Source organism: Homo sapiens, chromosome 9 (assembly GCF_000001405.40).
Source record: "Homo sapiens chromosome 9, GRCh38.p14 Primary Assembly".
Classification (NCBI taxonomy): domain Eukaryota; kingdom Metazoa; phylum Chordata; class Mammalia; order Primates; family Hominidae; genus Homo; species Homo sapiens.
The window spans coordinates 124,697,080-124,711,862 of NC_000009.12; the positions used below are offsets into that span (position 1 = coordinate 124,697,080).

The window sequence follows — 14,783 nt, forward strand, 5'->3', positions numbered from 1 at the left end:
CCTGACTAGATTAGGAGCCTGGAGTGTACTAAGAAAGAAATGGGCAATTTCACAATGGAAGAAAGAGGATTCCACTTTTGGAACAGATATCAGAACAAGGAATGCACATTTATGATTCATAAGCATGGATCTGAGAAAGAATGATCTAAGTGCAGAAAGAAAAAGGTAACAAATACTTATTGGACACCTAGTGTATACCTGGACTGCAACAGGAGCCAGGAGACATGGAAGAAACAAAAGTATATAACGTAAAAGGCAGAACTAATTCTAACGAACAAATAGCTAATTGCAAGTGTGAAGAGCTCTGCAGAAGATAAAAGTAAGGTACTATGAGAGCAAATAATAGGAGGGACCAATCCAGTCTTGGTGGTAAGAAGGGTCAGGGAACTTCCTTGAGGAAGTGATGTATAAGTAAAGACTTCAAGGGTATGTGTAACTACCTTGGTGAAATAGAGTAAGCATTCCAAGCATAGAGAATGGATGGTATGTTGTGTAGGCCAAAGAAGCAGTGTTTTTACAAAACAGAAATTGTGACTAAAGCACATAAAAAGATGGTGAAAAAGTCATGAGACAAGGCCAGAAAAGAAGGTAGGATTTAAAAAAAAAAAAAACAGATTACTAATAGTTTTGGAAAGAACAATTTTGGCGTTCTAGTCATTGTGGAAATAGATTTCTGGAAAGGTAGTGATGAAGAGCTTGGGCTAAATGAGGGTAAAAATCTCAGCTGTTACTTAGCAACTATATGAACTTGAGCAAATTACTTAACCTTTAAATCTGTGTCATCTGTAAATAGGAGATACAACAATAGTATTTGCTTCACAGGGCTGCTTGAAGATTAAGAATACATGTAAAGAATTTCACACAAGATCTGACACACAAAATATTAAGATCTTAGTGTATGTGCATGTGTTGTGTGTGTGTTTTGTAAGCGCTGCCAAGCATGACTGGCTGATAGGAGACAAAAAGCAGACAGGAAGTTCAAACAGACTAGAAGCAAAGACGTTAACAACTGTGATCTCAAAGTTGTAGAATTATAGGTAATTTTTATGTTTATTATTTATACTCTTATAGATCTTCCAAGTATTTACCAATAAGCATAAACTATTTCAACAATTAAGAAAAAGTTAATTTTAAATCATGTCTTTCTACTCTGGTTTCTCTTCAGATCATATAAATCTTTCGCCTTTTAAATCATGTATTAAAAAAAAAGAAAAAGGAAAAACAAAGATTTCTTTTAGATGCAGAATCTACCTACATTCGGCTGAAAATCAGATGGAAGAATCCACAGAGGAAAGGAAGGAAAGGCGAACTGTCCTGTGGAAAGCACAGCTGCAGGGATAGTAGAAAGTAACAGGCTCTCGATCCGTGGGAGGTGGTCACTTTGGAGGACAGATAAGTCATCCTCAGAGAACGAACACAATGAAGGAAATTCCAGCCTATTCATGTTCTCCTCTCAGGCTGTACCTCAACAAGATCCAACTGGACTTTGTGATCTCATAACCTGTCAAGGGGCCTGGCATGGAGTAGATAATAAATGTTTTTTTTAATCAAATGAATTTTTAACTTTTTTTATCAAACGAATTTTCTTGTAATTTCTAGCACAATTATATTTATAACTTAGGAAGTAATCTTCTCCTTGAACCAAGCACAGGATACCTTCAGCTATCTATCTGTCCCACACATTGCAGTTTCAGCCTATATATAATTTTAATAGCTACCAAATATCAGGATAAAATTATCCTGGCTATACTTGCCACAGAACCCATGAACTTACACTGTAGCCCAACTTCCCTTCCTGTTCTTCAGACTAAATCTACTGAAAAACACACAACCAATCAAAATCGTATGCCCTTTTCTCTCCTCTTCCCAGTAAGTAGTTGGGGCAAAAAACGGTAGGTATAGAAGAAATCGCTTGAAATACAAGAGTCAGAAAATCTGAATTTAAGTTCAGCTAAGTTCAGCTCTGCCCTGATTATGTATTCGTGGTCAAGCCAGTCACCCTGTTTAAGTCTTACTTCTCTGTAAAAGGACGACTAAATATACCCTCTCCATCTCAGATGTGAAAAAGCGCTCTGCAAACAGCACAAGGTATAGGCCAAAGTATCCTAGTCTCTGATGGTGCTGCTCCACAGGTACAGACAAGTAGTTCAGACAAGATCCTCTCACTACCCAAACTCTTGCCTACTTGTCAACCAGCAGTATATGTGTGCAAGATGTCTGGATAAAGTTAACCCATAACCCAGGGTTAAAAGAAGGCCTTTTCTGCATGTAAGTGTCATCAGACTGGATGGGAAATATCATTCACTCTAGGTCCATCAGTAGCAACTCCAAACACTTGAGTCACCTCCCAAACAAGAAGTTGCTATTATACTCTGTAGTGGGGTAGGACACAGGGTAAGGCTTTGGGATTATAAGCTTCCAAGGTGAAGAATAATGACATAGCAAATAATCAGTGGGGCCCCATCTGATCAATGAACTTAAATCATTTTGTCAAGACGTCCCTTCCTTTTCCTGCTTCCAGCCAATCTTAAATATTTCTTTAAACAGCTTTGTTTAGGTATAATTCACATGCAATTAAATTCGCCTGTTGTAAGTGTATAATTCAATGACTTTTATTCATTCATTTATAGACTTGTGCAAGCATCACCAAAATCTAATTTCGAACCTTTGCATCACCCATAAAACTCCCTTTGTTCCTGTTTCCACTCCCAACTTAGCCCCCAGACAACCACTGATCTGTCTCTATACATTTGACTTCTCTGGACATTTTGTTCTGGTTTTTGTTTTGAGACAGTCTTGCTCTTCTTCCAGTCTTCGCCCAGACTGGAGTGCAGTGGTATGATCTCAGCTCACTGCAACCTCTACCTCCCGGGTTCAAGTAACTCTCATGCCTCAGTCACCTGAGTAGCTTTGATTACAGGCATGCGCCACCACACCCGCCTTTTTTTTTAGTAGAGATGGAGTTTCGCCATGTTGGCCTGGCTGGTCTCAAACTCCTGGCCTCAAGTAATCTGCCCACCTCAGCCTCCCAAAGTGCTAGGATTACAGGTGTGAGTCACCACGCCCAGCCTCTGGACATTTCATATAGGAGAAATCATATAACATGTACTCGCTTGAGTTTGGCTTTTTTTTTGAAATGGGGTCTCACTCTGTCACCCAGGCTGGAGTGCAGTGGCGTGATCTTGGCTCACTGCAATCTCCGTCTCCCAGGTTCAAGTGATTCTCCCACCTCAGCCTCTAGAGTAGCTGGGACTACAGGCATACACCACCATGCCCGGCTAATTTTTGCATTTTTTTAAATTTTTTAATTTTTATTTTTTTAGTAAAGATGGGGTTTCACCATGTTGGCAAGGCTGGTCTCGAACTGCTGACCTCAAGTGATCCACCTGCCTCAGCCTCCCAAAGTGCTGGGATTACAGACATGAGCCACCACGCCCAGTGAAGTTTGGCTTTTTTCATTTATTATGAGTTTTAGGTTTATCCATGTTGTAGCATGTACTGGTAATTCATTCCTTTTTATTGTTGAATAAATAAATATTGTTGATAGTATTGCATTATATAGGTATTCCACATTTTGTTTATCCATTCACCAGCTGCTGGATATTTGAATTGTTTCCAGGTTTGGGCTATTAATGAACATTTATAATAATGCTATCAATAAACATTTACATAGCCTTTTTTTTTTTTTTTTTTTTTTTTGAGACAAGTTCTCGCCCTGTGGCTCAGGCTGGAGTGCAATGGTGCAATCTCAGCTCACTGCAACCTCTACCTCCCAGGCTCAAGCGATTCTCCTGTGTCAGCCTCCTGAGTAGCAAGGATTACAGGCACATGCCAACGCACCCAGCTAATTTTTGTATTTTTAGTAGAGAAGGGGTTTCTCCATGTTGGCCAGGCGGGTCTCAAACTCCTGACCTCAGGTGACCCACCCGCCTTGGCCTCCCAAAGTGCTGAGATTACAGGCATGAGCCACCACACCTGGCCTACATACAGTCTTTGTATGGACATAAGTTTTTAATTCTCTTGGATATCCAGGAGTGGAATTGCTGGATCATATGGTAAGTTTAACTTTTTAATGAACTGCCAAACTGATTTCCAACTGATTTACATTACCATTGTAACACGCAAGATTTCTAGTTTCTACACATCCTAACACTTTCTAGAACATTTTGACAGTCTTTTCGATTACAGCTATTCCTGAGGGTGTACAGTGGACATTCCAATTTTAATTTGCATCTCCCTAATGACTAATTTAGAGCACCTTTGCATGTGATGAAATGTTCTTTTACCCATGTTTTCATATTTTTAATTTTTATTGTAGTAAAATATACATAAAATTTACCATTTTAATCACTTAAGTATATAATTCAATGGCATTAAATTCACAATGCTGTGCAACCAGCATCACTATCCATTTCCAGAACATTTTCATAATCCTAAACAAGAACTCTGTACCCATTAAACAATAACTACTTATCCTCCATTTCCCCTAGCAACTTGTTTACTTTTTGCCTCAATGAATTTTGCCTATTCTAGGAATCTCACATAAGTGGAATCATTATATTTTTTGTTAATTTCTAAAAATTGAGTTGTCTTCTTATTGAGTTGTAAGAGTTCTTTACGTATTTTAGATGCAACTCCTTTATCAGATTTTTTTTTCTTTTGAGTCGGAGTTTCGCTCTTGTTGCCCAGGCTGCAATGCAGTGGCACAATCTCGGCTCACTGCAACCTCCACCTCCCGGGTTCATGCGATTCTCCTGCTTCAGCCTCCCGAGTAGCTGGGATTACAGGCGCCTGCCACCACGCCCAGGTAGTTTTTTGTATTTTTAGTAGAGATGGGGTTTCACTATGTTGGCCAGGCTGGTTTTGAACTCCTGGCCTCAAGTAATCCACCCATCTCGGCCTCCCAAAGTGCTAGGATTACAGGTGTGAGCCACCGCACCCGGCCTTTACCAGATATTTAATTTGCAAATATATTCCCACAATCTGAAGTTTTCCCATTTTCTTAATAACGTATTTTGAAATGCAAAAGTTTTACATTTTAATGAAGCCAATTCATCAATGAATTTCTTTTATGGCTTGTGCCACTGGTGTCACATCTAAGAGGTCTTTGCCTAACCCAAGGTCACAAAGATATGCTTGATACATTTGGTAGTTTTAGCTCTTACATTTAGGTGTATGGTGCACTCTGAGTTACTTTTTGTGTCTAGTGTAAAATAGAGTCTTAGATAAATTTTTGGCATGTAGATATCCACTTTTCCCAGCATCATTTCTGGAAAAAAACTATGATTTCCTCCACTGAATTGCCTTGGTATCTTGGTCAAAAATCAAAGGACCACATACATAAGGATTTATGACTGAATTCTCAATTCAGTTCCAGTGCCTATCCTTACAGCAATTATCACTGATACAGTTTGGATGTCTGTTCCCTCCAAATCATGTTGAAATGTGACCCTCAATGTTGGAGGTGGGGCCTAATGGGAGGTAGTTGGGTCATGAGGGTAGATCCCTCATGAATGGCCTGGTGCCCTCCCCTCAGTAATGAGTTCTTGTTTTATTAGTTCACACAACAGCTGGTTGTTTACAGAGCCTGGCACCTCCTCCTCTCTTGCTCTTTCTCTTGCCATGTGATGTGCCTTTTCCCCCCTCATCTTCTGCCATGAGTAAAAGCTTCCTGCGGCCTCATCAGAAGCCAACAAAATGTTGGTACCATACCTTGTCTCCAGAACCGTAAGTCAAATAAACCTCTTCATAAATTACCCAGTCTCAGGCATTCCCTTAGAGCAATGCAAAACAGAATTTTGCCTATTCTACGAATAGGCAAATTTTTTTTTTTTCTCTTGAGATGGAGTCTCACTCTGTCACCCAGGCTGGAGTGCAGTGGTACAGTCTCAGTTCACTGCACTCCACCTCCTGGGCTCAAGCGATTCTCCTGCCTCAGCCTCAGCCTCCTGAGTAGCTGAAATTACAGACAAACACAAACATGCCCAACTAATTTTTGTATTCTTAGTAGAAACAGGGTTTCACCATGTTGGTCAAGCTGGTCTCGAACTCCTGACCTCAACTGATCTGCCCACCTCAGCCTCCCAAAGTGCTGAGATTACAGGCGTGAGCCACCACACACGGCCACATTTTTTTTTTTTTTTTTTTTTTTGAGACAGGATCTCGCTCTGTCACCCAGCCTGGAGTATAGTGGCACAATCATAGCGTACTGCATTCTCAAACTCCTGGGCTCAGGTGATCATCCCACCTCGACCTCCTAAGTAGCAAGGACTACAGGCACATGCCACCATGTCCAGGGTTTTTTTTTTCTTTTCTTGTAACAGGCTCTATGTTACCCAGGCTGGTCTTGAACTCCTGGCCTCATGCAATCCTCCCACCTCAGCCTCCCAAAGTGCTGGTATTACCAGCGTGAGCCACTGTGCCCAGCCCATCCTACCTTTTAGTGGAATGTTTGTCGACACTTGGTATACTGCATTTTTATGTGTTAATACAAGCCTGTATTCCCAAATTAAATCCCATTTGGTCATGGTATATAATACATTATTCTATATTGTTGAATTTGGTTTGCTAATGTTTTGTTAAAAGATTTTTACACCTGTGTTCGTAAAGGGCTACTGATCTGCAGGTTCCCTGTGGTATCCTTGTTGGGTTACCAGGATAATACCATGCTCGTAGAATGAGTTGTCAAGTGTTCCTTCCTCTTCTGTTTTCTAAAAGAATTTGTTAAGGATTAGTATTATTGCTTCCTTGATTTTTTTTTTTTAAGATGGTAGTCTTGCTATGTTGCTCAGGCTAGCCTTCAACTCCTGGCCTCATGCCACCTGAGCCTCCCAAGTAGCTGGGACTAAAGGTGTTCATCACCAAGTAAGCCACTGCACCCAGCATGCTTCTTTTAAGTGTTTGACAGAATTCACCAATGGAGACACCTGGGCCTAGGCTTCTCTTTGTAGGAAGATTTTTAATTACTAATTCATTTTAACTGTTATAAGGTCTCATTTTCTATTTCCTCTAGAGTCAGTTTTGATCATCTGTATCTAGGAATTTGTCCATTTCATCTAAGTTGTCTAATTTGGTGAGATAAAGTTGATCATGGCAAATCCCTTATAATCCTTTCAATTTCTGTGGGTAATAATGTCCTTTCATTCCTGACTTTGGTAATTTGTGTTGTCTTTATTTCCTTAGTCTTGGTAGGGGTTTATCAAATTTGTCGATCTTTTCAGAGGACCAACTTTAGTTTCACTGATTTTTCTCAACTGGTTTTGTGCTTTCCATTTCGTTGTTTTCCATTCTAATCTTTATTGTTTTCTTCCTTATACTTGCTTCAGATGTTTGTTGCTGTTGTTTTTTCAGAGACAGGGTCTCACTCTGTTGCCCAGGCTGGAATACAGTGATGCAATCATAGCTCACCGCAGCCTCAAACTGCTGGGCTCAAGCAATCCTCCCACCTCAGCCTCCCAAGAAACACACACCTCTACATCCAGCTACTTCGGATTAGTTTGTGTTTTATCTAGTTTCTTACAATGGACGCTTACGTTAGTGCTTTAAGCCTCTCCTTTTCAAATATCCAGGCATTATAAAAGCTGTAAATCTTCCTCTAAGCACAGCTTCAGCTACATTTCATAAATTTTGATATGTTACGTTTTCATTTAGTTAAAAAAAATTTTTGTGTGTGGGGGGGAAGACAGGGTCTCACTCTATCACCCAGGCTGAGTGCAGTGGCACAATTAAGGCTCACTGCAGCCTCGAACTCCCAGGCCCAGGAGATACACCCACCCCAACCTCCCGAGTAGCTGGGACCAGAAGCGCATGCCACAACTGGCGAATTTCTGGTATGTTTTTGGAGATAGGGTTTCACCATGTTGCCCAGGCTGGTCTAGAACTCCTGGGTTCAAGTGATCCGCCCACCTTGGCCTCCCAAAGTGCTGGGATTATAGGCATGAGCCACTGTGCCTGGCCTAGTTAAAAGTATTTTAAAATTTGCCTTGGAATTTCTTCTTTGCTCTATTATTTATACGTATGTTGTTTAATTTCAAATATTTGGAGATACCAGATTTGTTATGAATCTCTAATTTAACTCCCTTGTATATTTTGCATAAAGTGTTCAATAAATGAGTTCTGTCAAGTTCACTGATAGTGCTGATGAAGTCTTTTATATTCTTGCTAATTTCCTATCAATTATTGCTAATTATTCTATTAATTATTGAAAGTTGGAAATTAAAATCTACAATTACTATTGTTTAATAGTCCATTTCTCCTTTAATTTCTGTCAGTTTTTGCTTCGTGTATTTTGGTGGTCTCCTGTTAGATATATTTTAATAATTATCTTTTTCTCATGTATTGCCCCTTTTGTCATTACAGTATGTCCCTGTCTCTAGTAATATTTCTTGCTTAAACTGTCTGACATTAATATAGTTACTCCAGCTCTCCTATTTGCATGATCTCACTTTTACTTTCAACCTATTTGTGTCTTTAAATCTAAGGTATGTCCATTATTGAACTGACAGCATAGAGCTGTGTTTTGCCTTTTTATTCAGGCTAACCATCTCTACCTTTTGAATAGATGGTACATTCACATTTAATATAACTACTGATATAGCTGGACTTTATGCTATTTTGCTATTTTTGTCTTTTTTTTAACCTCTGCTTCTATTGTATCATCTTTTGTGTGAAGTATGTTTTAGGGTACACCATTTCAATCCCCCCTTTTTTTTTTTTTGACAGAGTCTCACTCTGTTGCCCAGGCTGGAGTGCAGTGGTGTGATCTTGGCTCACTGCAACCTCTGCCTCCCAAGTTCAAGTGATTCTCCTGCCTCAGCCTCCCAAGTAGCTGCGATTACAGGTGCTCGTGACCATGCCCGTCTAATTTTTGTATTTTTAGTAGAGACAAGGTTTCATCATGTTGGCCAGGTTGGTCTTGAACTCCCGAACTCAGGTGATCCACCTGCCTCGGCCTCCCAAAGTGCCGGGATTACAGGCGTAAGCCACCACGCCAGCCTGATTTTATTTTTTTAAACTATACATATTTTGTTGTTTACTTAGTGGTTGCTCTAGGCCTCACAACATGCATCTTTACTTATGACAGTCTAATTTAGTTCCAGGAAATACAGAAACTTTATCCAACATACCTCCTATCCATCCCCTCCTATTATTGCCATATATGTTATAACTTAGTAATAAAATGGTATAATCCTTGCTCTATATAATCTTGTCTTTTTAAAAAATTGAGAAGAAAAAACATACAGACATATTTACTATTTCCACTGTTCATCATTTCTTCTTATGGATTTGAGTTACCATCTGGTATCACTCCCTTTCAGCTTGAAGAATTTCCTTTAGTATTTTAAAGCAGGTCCACTCACAATAAATTCTGTCTTTTTAATGTGGAACTCTTTGTCTTCATTTTTGAAGAACAGTTTTGCTAGATACAGAACATTTAACAATTTTTTTTTTTTTGAGATAGTCTCGCCCTGTCGCCAGGCTGGAGTGCAGTGGCGCAATCTTGGCTCATTGCAACCTCCAATTCCCTGGTTCAAGCGATTCTCCTGCCTCAGCCTCTCCTGACATGAGTAGCTGGGATTACTGACATGCGCCACCACACCAGCTAATTTTTGTATTTTTAGTGGAGAGGGGGTTTCACCATGTTGTCCAGGATGGTCTCAATCTCCCGACCTCGTGATCCACCCACCTCAGCCTCCCAAAGTGCTGATATTACAGGCGTGAGCCACCTCGCCCGGCCAACAATTTTGTTCCCTTTCCACACTTAGAATGTCATCCCATTGCCTTCAGGCATCCATTGCTTTTGATGAGAAGTCAGCCACAAAGCCTATTGTTTTTCCTTATCTATAATGGATCATTTTTTTTCTCGTTGCTTTCAAGATTTTCTCCTTGTCCTTATCTTTCCACATTTTGACTCTGATGTGTGTTTATCATACTTGGCGTTTATTAGGCTTAAATCTGTAGATTAATGTTTATCATCAGATTCAGAAAGTTTTTGCCATTATTTCTTCTAATATTTTCCTGCCCCTTTCTCTCATTCTTCTCCTCCCATGAGTCTCATTACATACACACTTGATGTCCCACAGATCTCAGAGGTTCTGTTCCTTTTTCCTCAATCTTTTTTCTCTGTTCTTCATATTGAATATTTTTAATTCATCTATCTACAAGTTCACCAATTCTTTCATCACCTCAAACCGGCTGCTGAGTCCCTACTTTTCATTTTAGTTATACTTTTCAACTCCAGTCCAGTGCTTCCATTTTTATTTTCTTATAATTTCTCTATTGAAATTCTCTATGTACTAGATCACTGTCATCACACTTCCTCTTTTAATTCTTTAAAAGTTGTCCCTTTATTTCTCTGGAATATCTGTAATAGTTGCATTGAAGTCTTATGTGTGCTAGATCCAACATTTAGGATCACTCAGAGACAGTTTCTACTGTTTTTTTTTTTTTCTTTCCTTAGTATGGGTCAAACTTTGTTTCTCTACATGTCTTTTAATTTTTGTTGTGATACTAAACATTTAAAACAATGTGCTTTTGGCAACTCTGGATTCTGACTTTTCCCCCACTAAGGTTGGTGGTGATGATGAGTTGTTTTTTGTTTTGTTTACTAACTTTCCTGCACTAAACCACCAAGTCTGTCTCCTCTGCAATGTGTAGTTCCTGATGGCTCCGGTTTTTCCCCCCACCTTTTTATTTTGAAGCCTGACTTGCAGGAGATACCCCTCTAACTGTATAGCTTCCTACTCCATTAAAGATTAGTCAGAGATGGTAATCAACCACCTTGAGCTCTTTCACTACCTGCTGCTGCAACTATGGTCAGGATAAGGGGAGCACACTCACACTTCAGGCCTTCACGTCTGTTCCAGTTACTTTTTGCTTGGCTTTCCCACACATCTTTGCATTGGTCAGGGATGTGTGGTAGTCTGGGCTCACACAGGTGTCTGATGTGCATAAATACTCCAACCCAGGATATTCGGAGAGCTTATCAAGCCCCTTGAAACTGTCTCACCTACCAGACCTCCTTGTTAAAGCCCTGGCTAGTCTACTGGCCCACTGTTTATCCTAAACAGAACTGCAACCTCAGAGTAGCAGATTTGCTGGCCCTGTTTCACTTGCCACAAAGATCATCAAATTTAACTGACAACATTCCAAATCAAGAAAGCTCCCTCCTGCAGCAGTCATAAAGCTACTGGTTTTCACCGCCAGCCCCACCCTGGTTGAACTACTGCACTGTCAGGGCTGGGAGAAATAGGAACAGGCCCAGGCAACACGACAAAACTCCTGCTGTTCTTACCCCAAGTACAGTGGTTTTCATGAATAAATGCTTCTCAATTTGTTTTAAGCCTTTGCTGTTTTTGAAAATTTGGGGAGAGAGAATTTTTTGACCTCCTCATTCACTCATGCCAGATATAAATGTCTTTGGCACCCAAACTGCTTAAATACAACTTAATCTCAAAATTTCACTTAGGAGGGAAAACTTCCAGAGGAAGGCAGAGGTATAAACTCATCTTGGGATTATGGAATCATTTTCAGTTCCAGAAAGCAACAGCCCAAAACTGTAAAGAGTTATTTTCAATTCTCTCTTCCCAAAAGCCATAACTACTGGAGTCTTTAGTGCCTTCCATGTGTATATATAAGCTGGACAAGCCCCAGGGCCAATGATGACTAGGGCAAAAGTACACAATCTCAGACTTTATCACCAGTTAGGTACTCAAATAGGTCCCAGGCAAAGTAGTACACTGAGTGTTACAGCTGGCCTTGGTCACTATGATTAAGCCCATCAGCATGCCTTGATGGCTATCATGGGTCCCTTTCCCACTGGCCCAGGTCTTAACTCTCAGCCCATCTGGTCATTAGCATTCCAAGACCAAGAGCTCTGGGTCTTAAAGCTTATACCCACAGCCAGTAACTGCGTGACCTGAATATATCTCTCTTCTACTTGCCAAATGTCAAGCATCAATTAATACCTGGATTCTCACTGCATTTCTCAGATCCCCATCCTCTCTCATCTCAGGCCCAGCAAATAATTCCTAATTAATCCATTAATCTATGCCCCTGAGTTTTCCCTGTCTGCTCATTGTCCTGGCTCAAATACCAGATTCCATAGTCAGTTTCCAGAATCTCCATCCTGCCTATTTCCTGACTGAAGTAATCATGTCAGATAATTTCTCTGTTCTATTTATATTCTCCTTAGAATACTTCTACAGCTTCTACTGAATAGTCAATTTACCATAGCTCCTGAAAGGACAAATGGACCCTGATCCAATCTGGGCTTATACTCCTTCCTAAGTGTTTACAATTTGAACACAAATACTTTAGTTAGTCTGTGTCAAGCATGGGTGCTAGAAGGCTATGTGACATGCCAGGGGAGGGGAGGGGCAGCCATTTTCCATCATGGACACAGAAGCGAGGAGTATCAGTCTAAAGAAGTTATCAACCAGAGGCACTAGAAAAAGCAGAAATGAGACTCCACATAGCCACAGAGAGATGGAAAAGAAATCCTGGCCTTGGTTCTTCATGAAATTCAATTGCATGCTCTGCCATTGAGCCCCAAGAGAAAACAAATACTTTTGCACCAGGTGGGTTGGCGCACACCTGTAATCTCAGCACTTTGGGAGGCCAAGGCGGGCAGATCACTTGAGGTCAGGAGTTCGAGACCAGCCTGACCAACACGGTGAAACCCTGTCTCTACTAAAAATACAAAAAATTAGCTGGGAAAGGTGGCAGGCACCTATAACCCCAGCTACTCGGGAGGCTGAGGCAGGAGAATCGCTTGAACCTTGCCTGAACCCAGGAGGCAGAGGTTGCAGTGAGCCAAGATCATGCCACTGCACTCCAGCCTGAGCAACAAAGTGAGATTCCATCTCGAAAAAAAAAAAAAAAGAAACCCAGTACTTTCTAACAATGTCCCTATTTTAAACTAGCTTGAGAGTGTTTCTGTTCCTTGCCATTGAACTACTCCAGAGAAAAGAGAATCACTCAATCCCATAATTAATATTATTTTGATGAAAATGGAAAATGTTTAGGGCTTGGTTTTTTACTGCATCTTAGTTATGCTGGACAACTGAGGGGCCAAATGATCAGACACGAGACAAGTCAACAAAAGTCTCCGCACAAAATCATTACATGAAGGACTTTATTTCCTTCTCGATGACATAGAACTTCTCCATTCAACGTAACAGAAAAACAATTCCTTAAAAAAATCATTTGGTTATTAAAAGTCACAAATAATAATTCTGTCAACAGAACTGACCACATGTAGTAATCCTACCAACTGTATCAGAACTATTATAAACACCTGTGAATACACAATGAAACACACACACACACATACACACACAATGTTGAGGTTTTGCTTTAAGTCACAGAAAAAACACCCCCTTTCTATTTCACATTTAGCATCAAAGGTTCATTGCAATGAGCCTCAGCCTAAGGCTATTTTTCTACCTTATCCTCCTCCTTCCCAACCTCTTAGCCCCATGATTCTCAAGGTATAAAGGATCTTCCTGGTGAATTAATCCAACATTCATCCATCTTATGAGTGACTGGTGTTCAGTTTATTTCTGCCTGTGATTAAAAGCTACATGCAAGTAACTTGTTAAGTGACTATTAATACAATTCAATGTTTATAAACGAATGAGACTCTAGTATTCTACTAAGCCTAGTTGCCAAAAATGGGTGGAAAAGTTGCAAAGATCCTTCCGCAATTGCACACGTAAGATCAGCTGGAAATCTTACAGTTCTCAGAAGAACTCCATTATCACTGTTGAGGAAATTAGTGGTAGTTTTCAATTGCTGCTATTTTTGCTTTACTCTTCAATTACAGTTCATTCAGCATCATCATTTTCAAGTTAGTTTGATTCATGTGGTGTATAATGATAGGTATTACATTAACAGTATCCTTATTTTGAAATTTTCCAGTAATTAAATCTTGACATGCATATGTCATGTTTCAAATATGAACCATACCCAATTGTTAAAGCGCATCTATCATCCTTACTCCAAGCCTATTTGTACATAATAGTCCACTGCCAATGAATAATTATGAACCGGAAAGCAGGAACATGCAAGTTAAGTAGATTTTTACATGCCTAAGTCAGCTAAGGTTTAAAAAAAAAAAAAAAAAAAAAAAAAAAAGCTGGCATCTTTGCCATAACCAAGCAATCTATTCTAGCCTGCCAGGTCACACTGTTTACACCCTAGTGGTCTTCCCCAAACATTATCTTAATTTTCACAGCCCTATAAATTCTATCCACCACTTCATGGAATCTCACACCCCCTTAACTGATCTTCTTCCTTCACCACTGCCTTAAACAATTCCTTGCCAAAGAAAATCTGTTCTCCTATTTCCATTTAAAAAAAAAAAAAGCCACATCTTAGACAACATTCACAAACACTCCTTTATCCATGCCCAAGGAATGGAGTGTCAGACCCAAAAATGGCGAGGAGCCATTAATGCCTCTCCCTGAAATCTCTCTGCAAGTAGATTTCTTCTTTTTATCATTAATAAAGTAGGTTTCAGGCACATCCTTCTCACCCCATCCCCAAACTCAGATCCCCTTGCATTAAGGGTCTACTCTATTACTTTAACCTTCTGTCCCTATTACCTCCTACTGCCAATATTCAAAGAAAAGTGACCACTGGATACCCACTGAGTAAGTCAAGATTTTCAAGCTTGAGAGGCAAGAGAAGTGAGACAGGGAAATGAATTCCCATGTGTCTTTATTGTTAAGATACAGAGTCTCACTATGCTGCCCAGGCTGGTCTTGAACTCTGCAGCTCAA

At 40.0% G+C, this 14,783-nt stretch overlaps 1 protein-coding gene and 1 long non-coding RNA gene across 5 annotated transcripts in view, besides 1 other annotated feature; one reads left to right on the top strand and one right to left on the bottom strand.

Annotated features, from left to right (window-relative positions):
* Positions 1-1,549, top strand: part of MIR181A2HG (MIR181A2 host gene) — a 40,193-nt gene extending 38,644 nt beyond the window's left edge. The window contains exon 2 of the long non-coding RNA NR_038975.1: positions 1,239-1,549. This is a non-coding gene — a long non-coding RNA (MIR181A2 host gene). The remainder of the gene's footprint in view (positions 1-1,238) is intronic.
* The window catches only part of NR6A1 (nuclear receptor subfamily 6 group A member 1), a 254,037-nt gene that overhangs the window by 179,805 nt on the left and 59,449 nt on the right, over positions 1-14,783 (bottom strand). The window lies entirely within an intron of this gene.
* Positions 10,553-11,064: an enhancer, noted in NCBI's record as "H3K27ac hESC enhancer chr9:127469911-127470422 (GRCh37/hg19 assembly coordinates)". NCBI's record gives its function as "activates a minimal SCP1, AML or CMV promoter by ChIP-STARR-seq in naive H9 embryonic stem cells {active_cell/tissue: H9 hESC(naive)}" and the evidence as "EXISTENCE:reporter gene assay evidence [ECO:0000049][PMID:30033119]".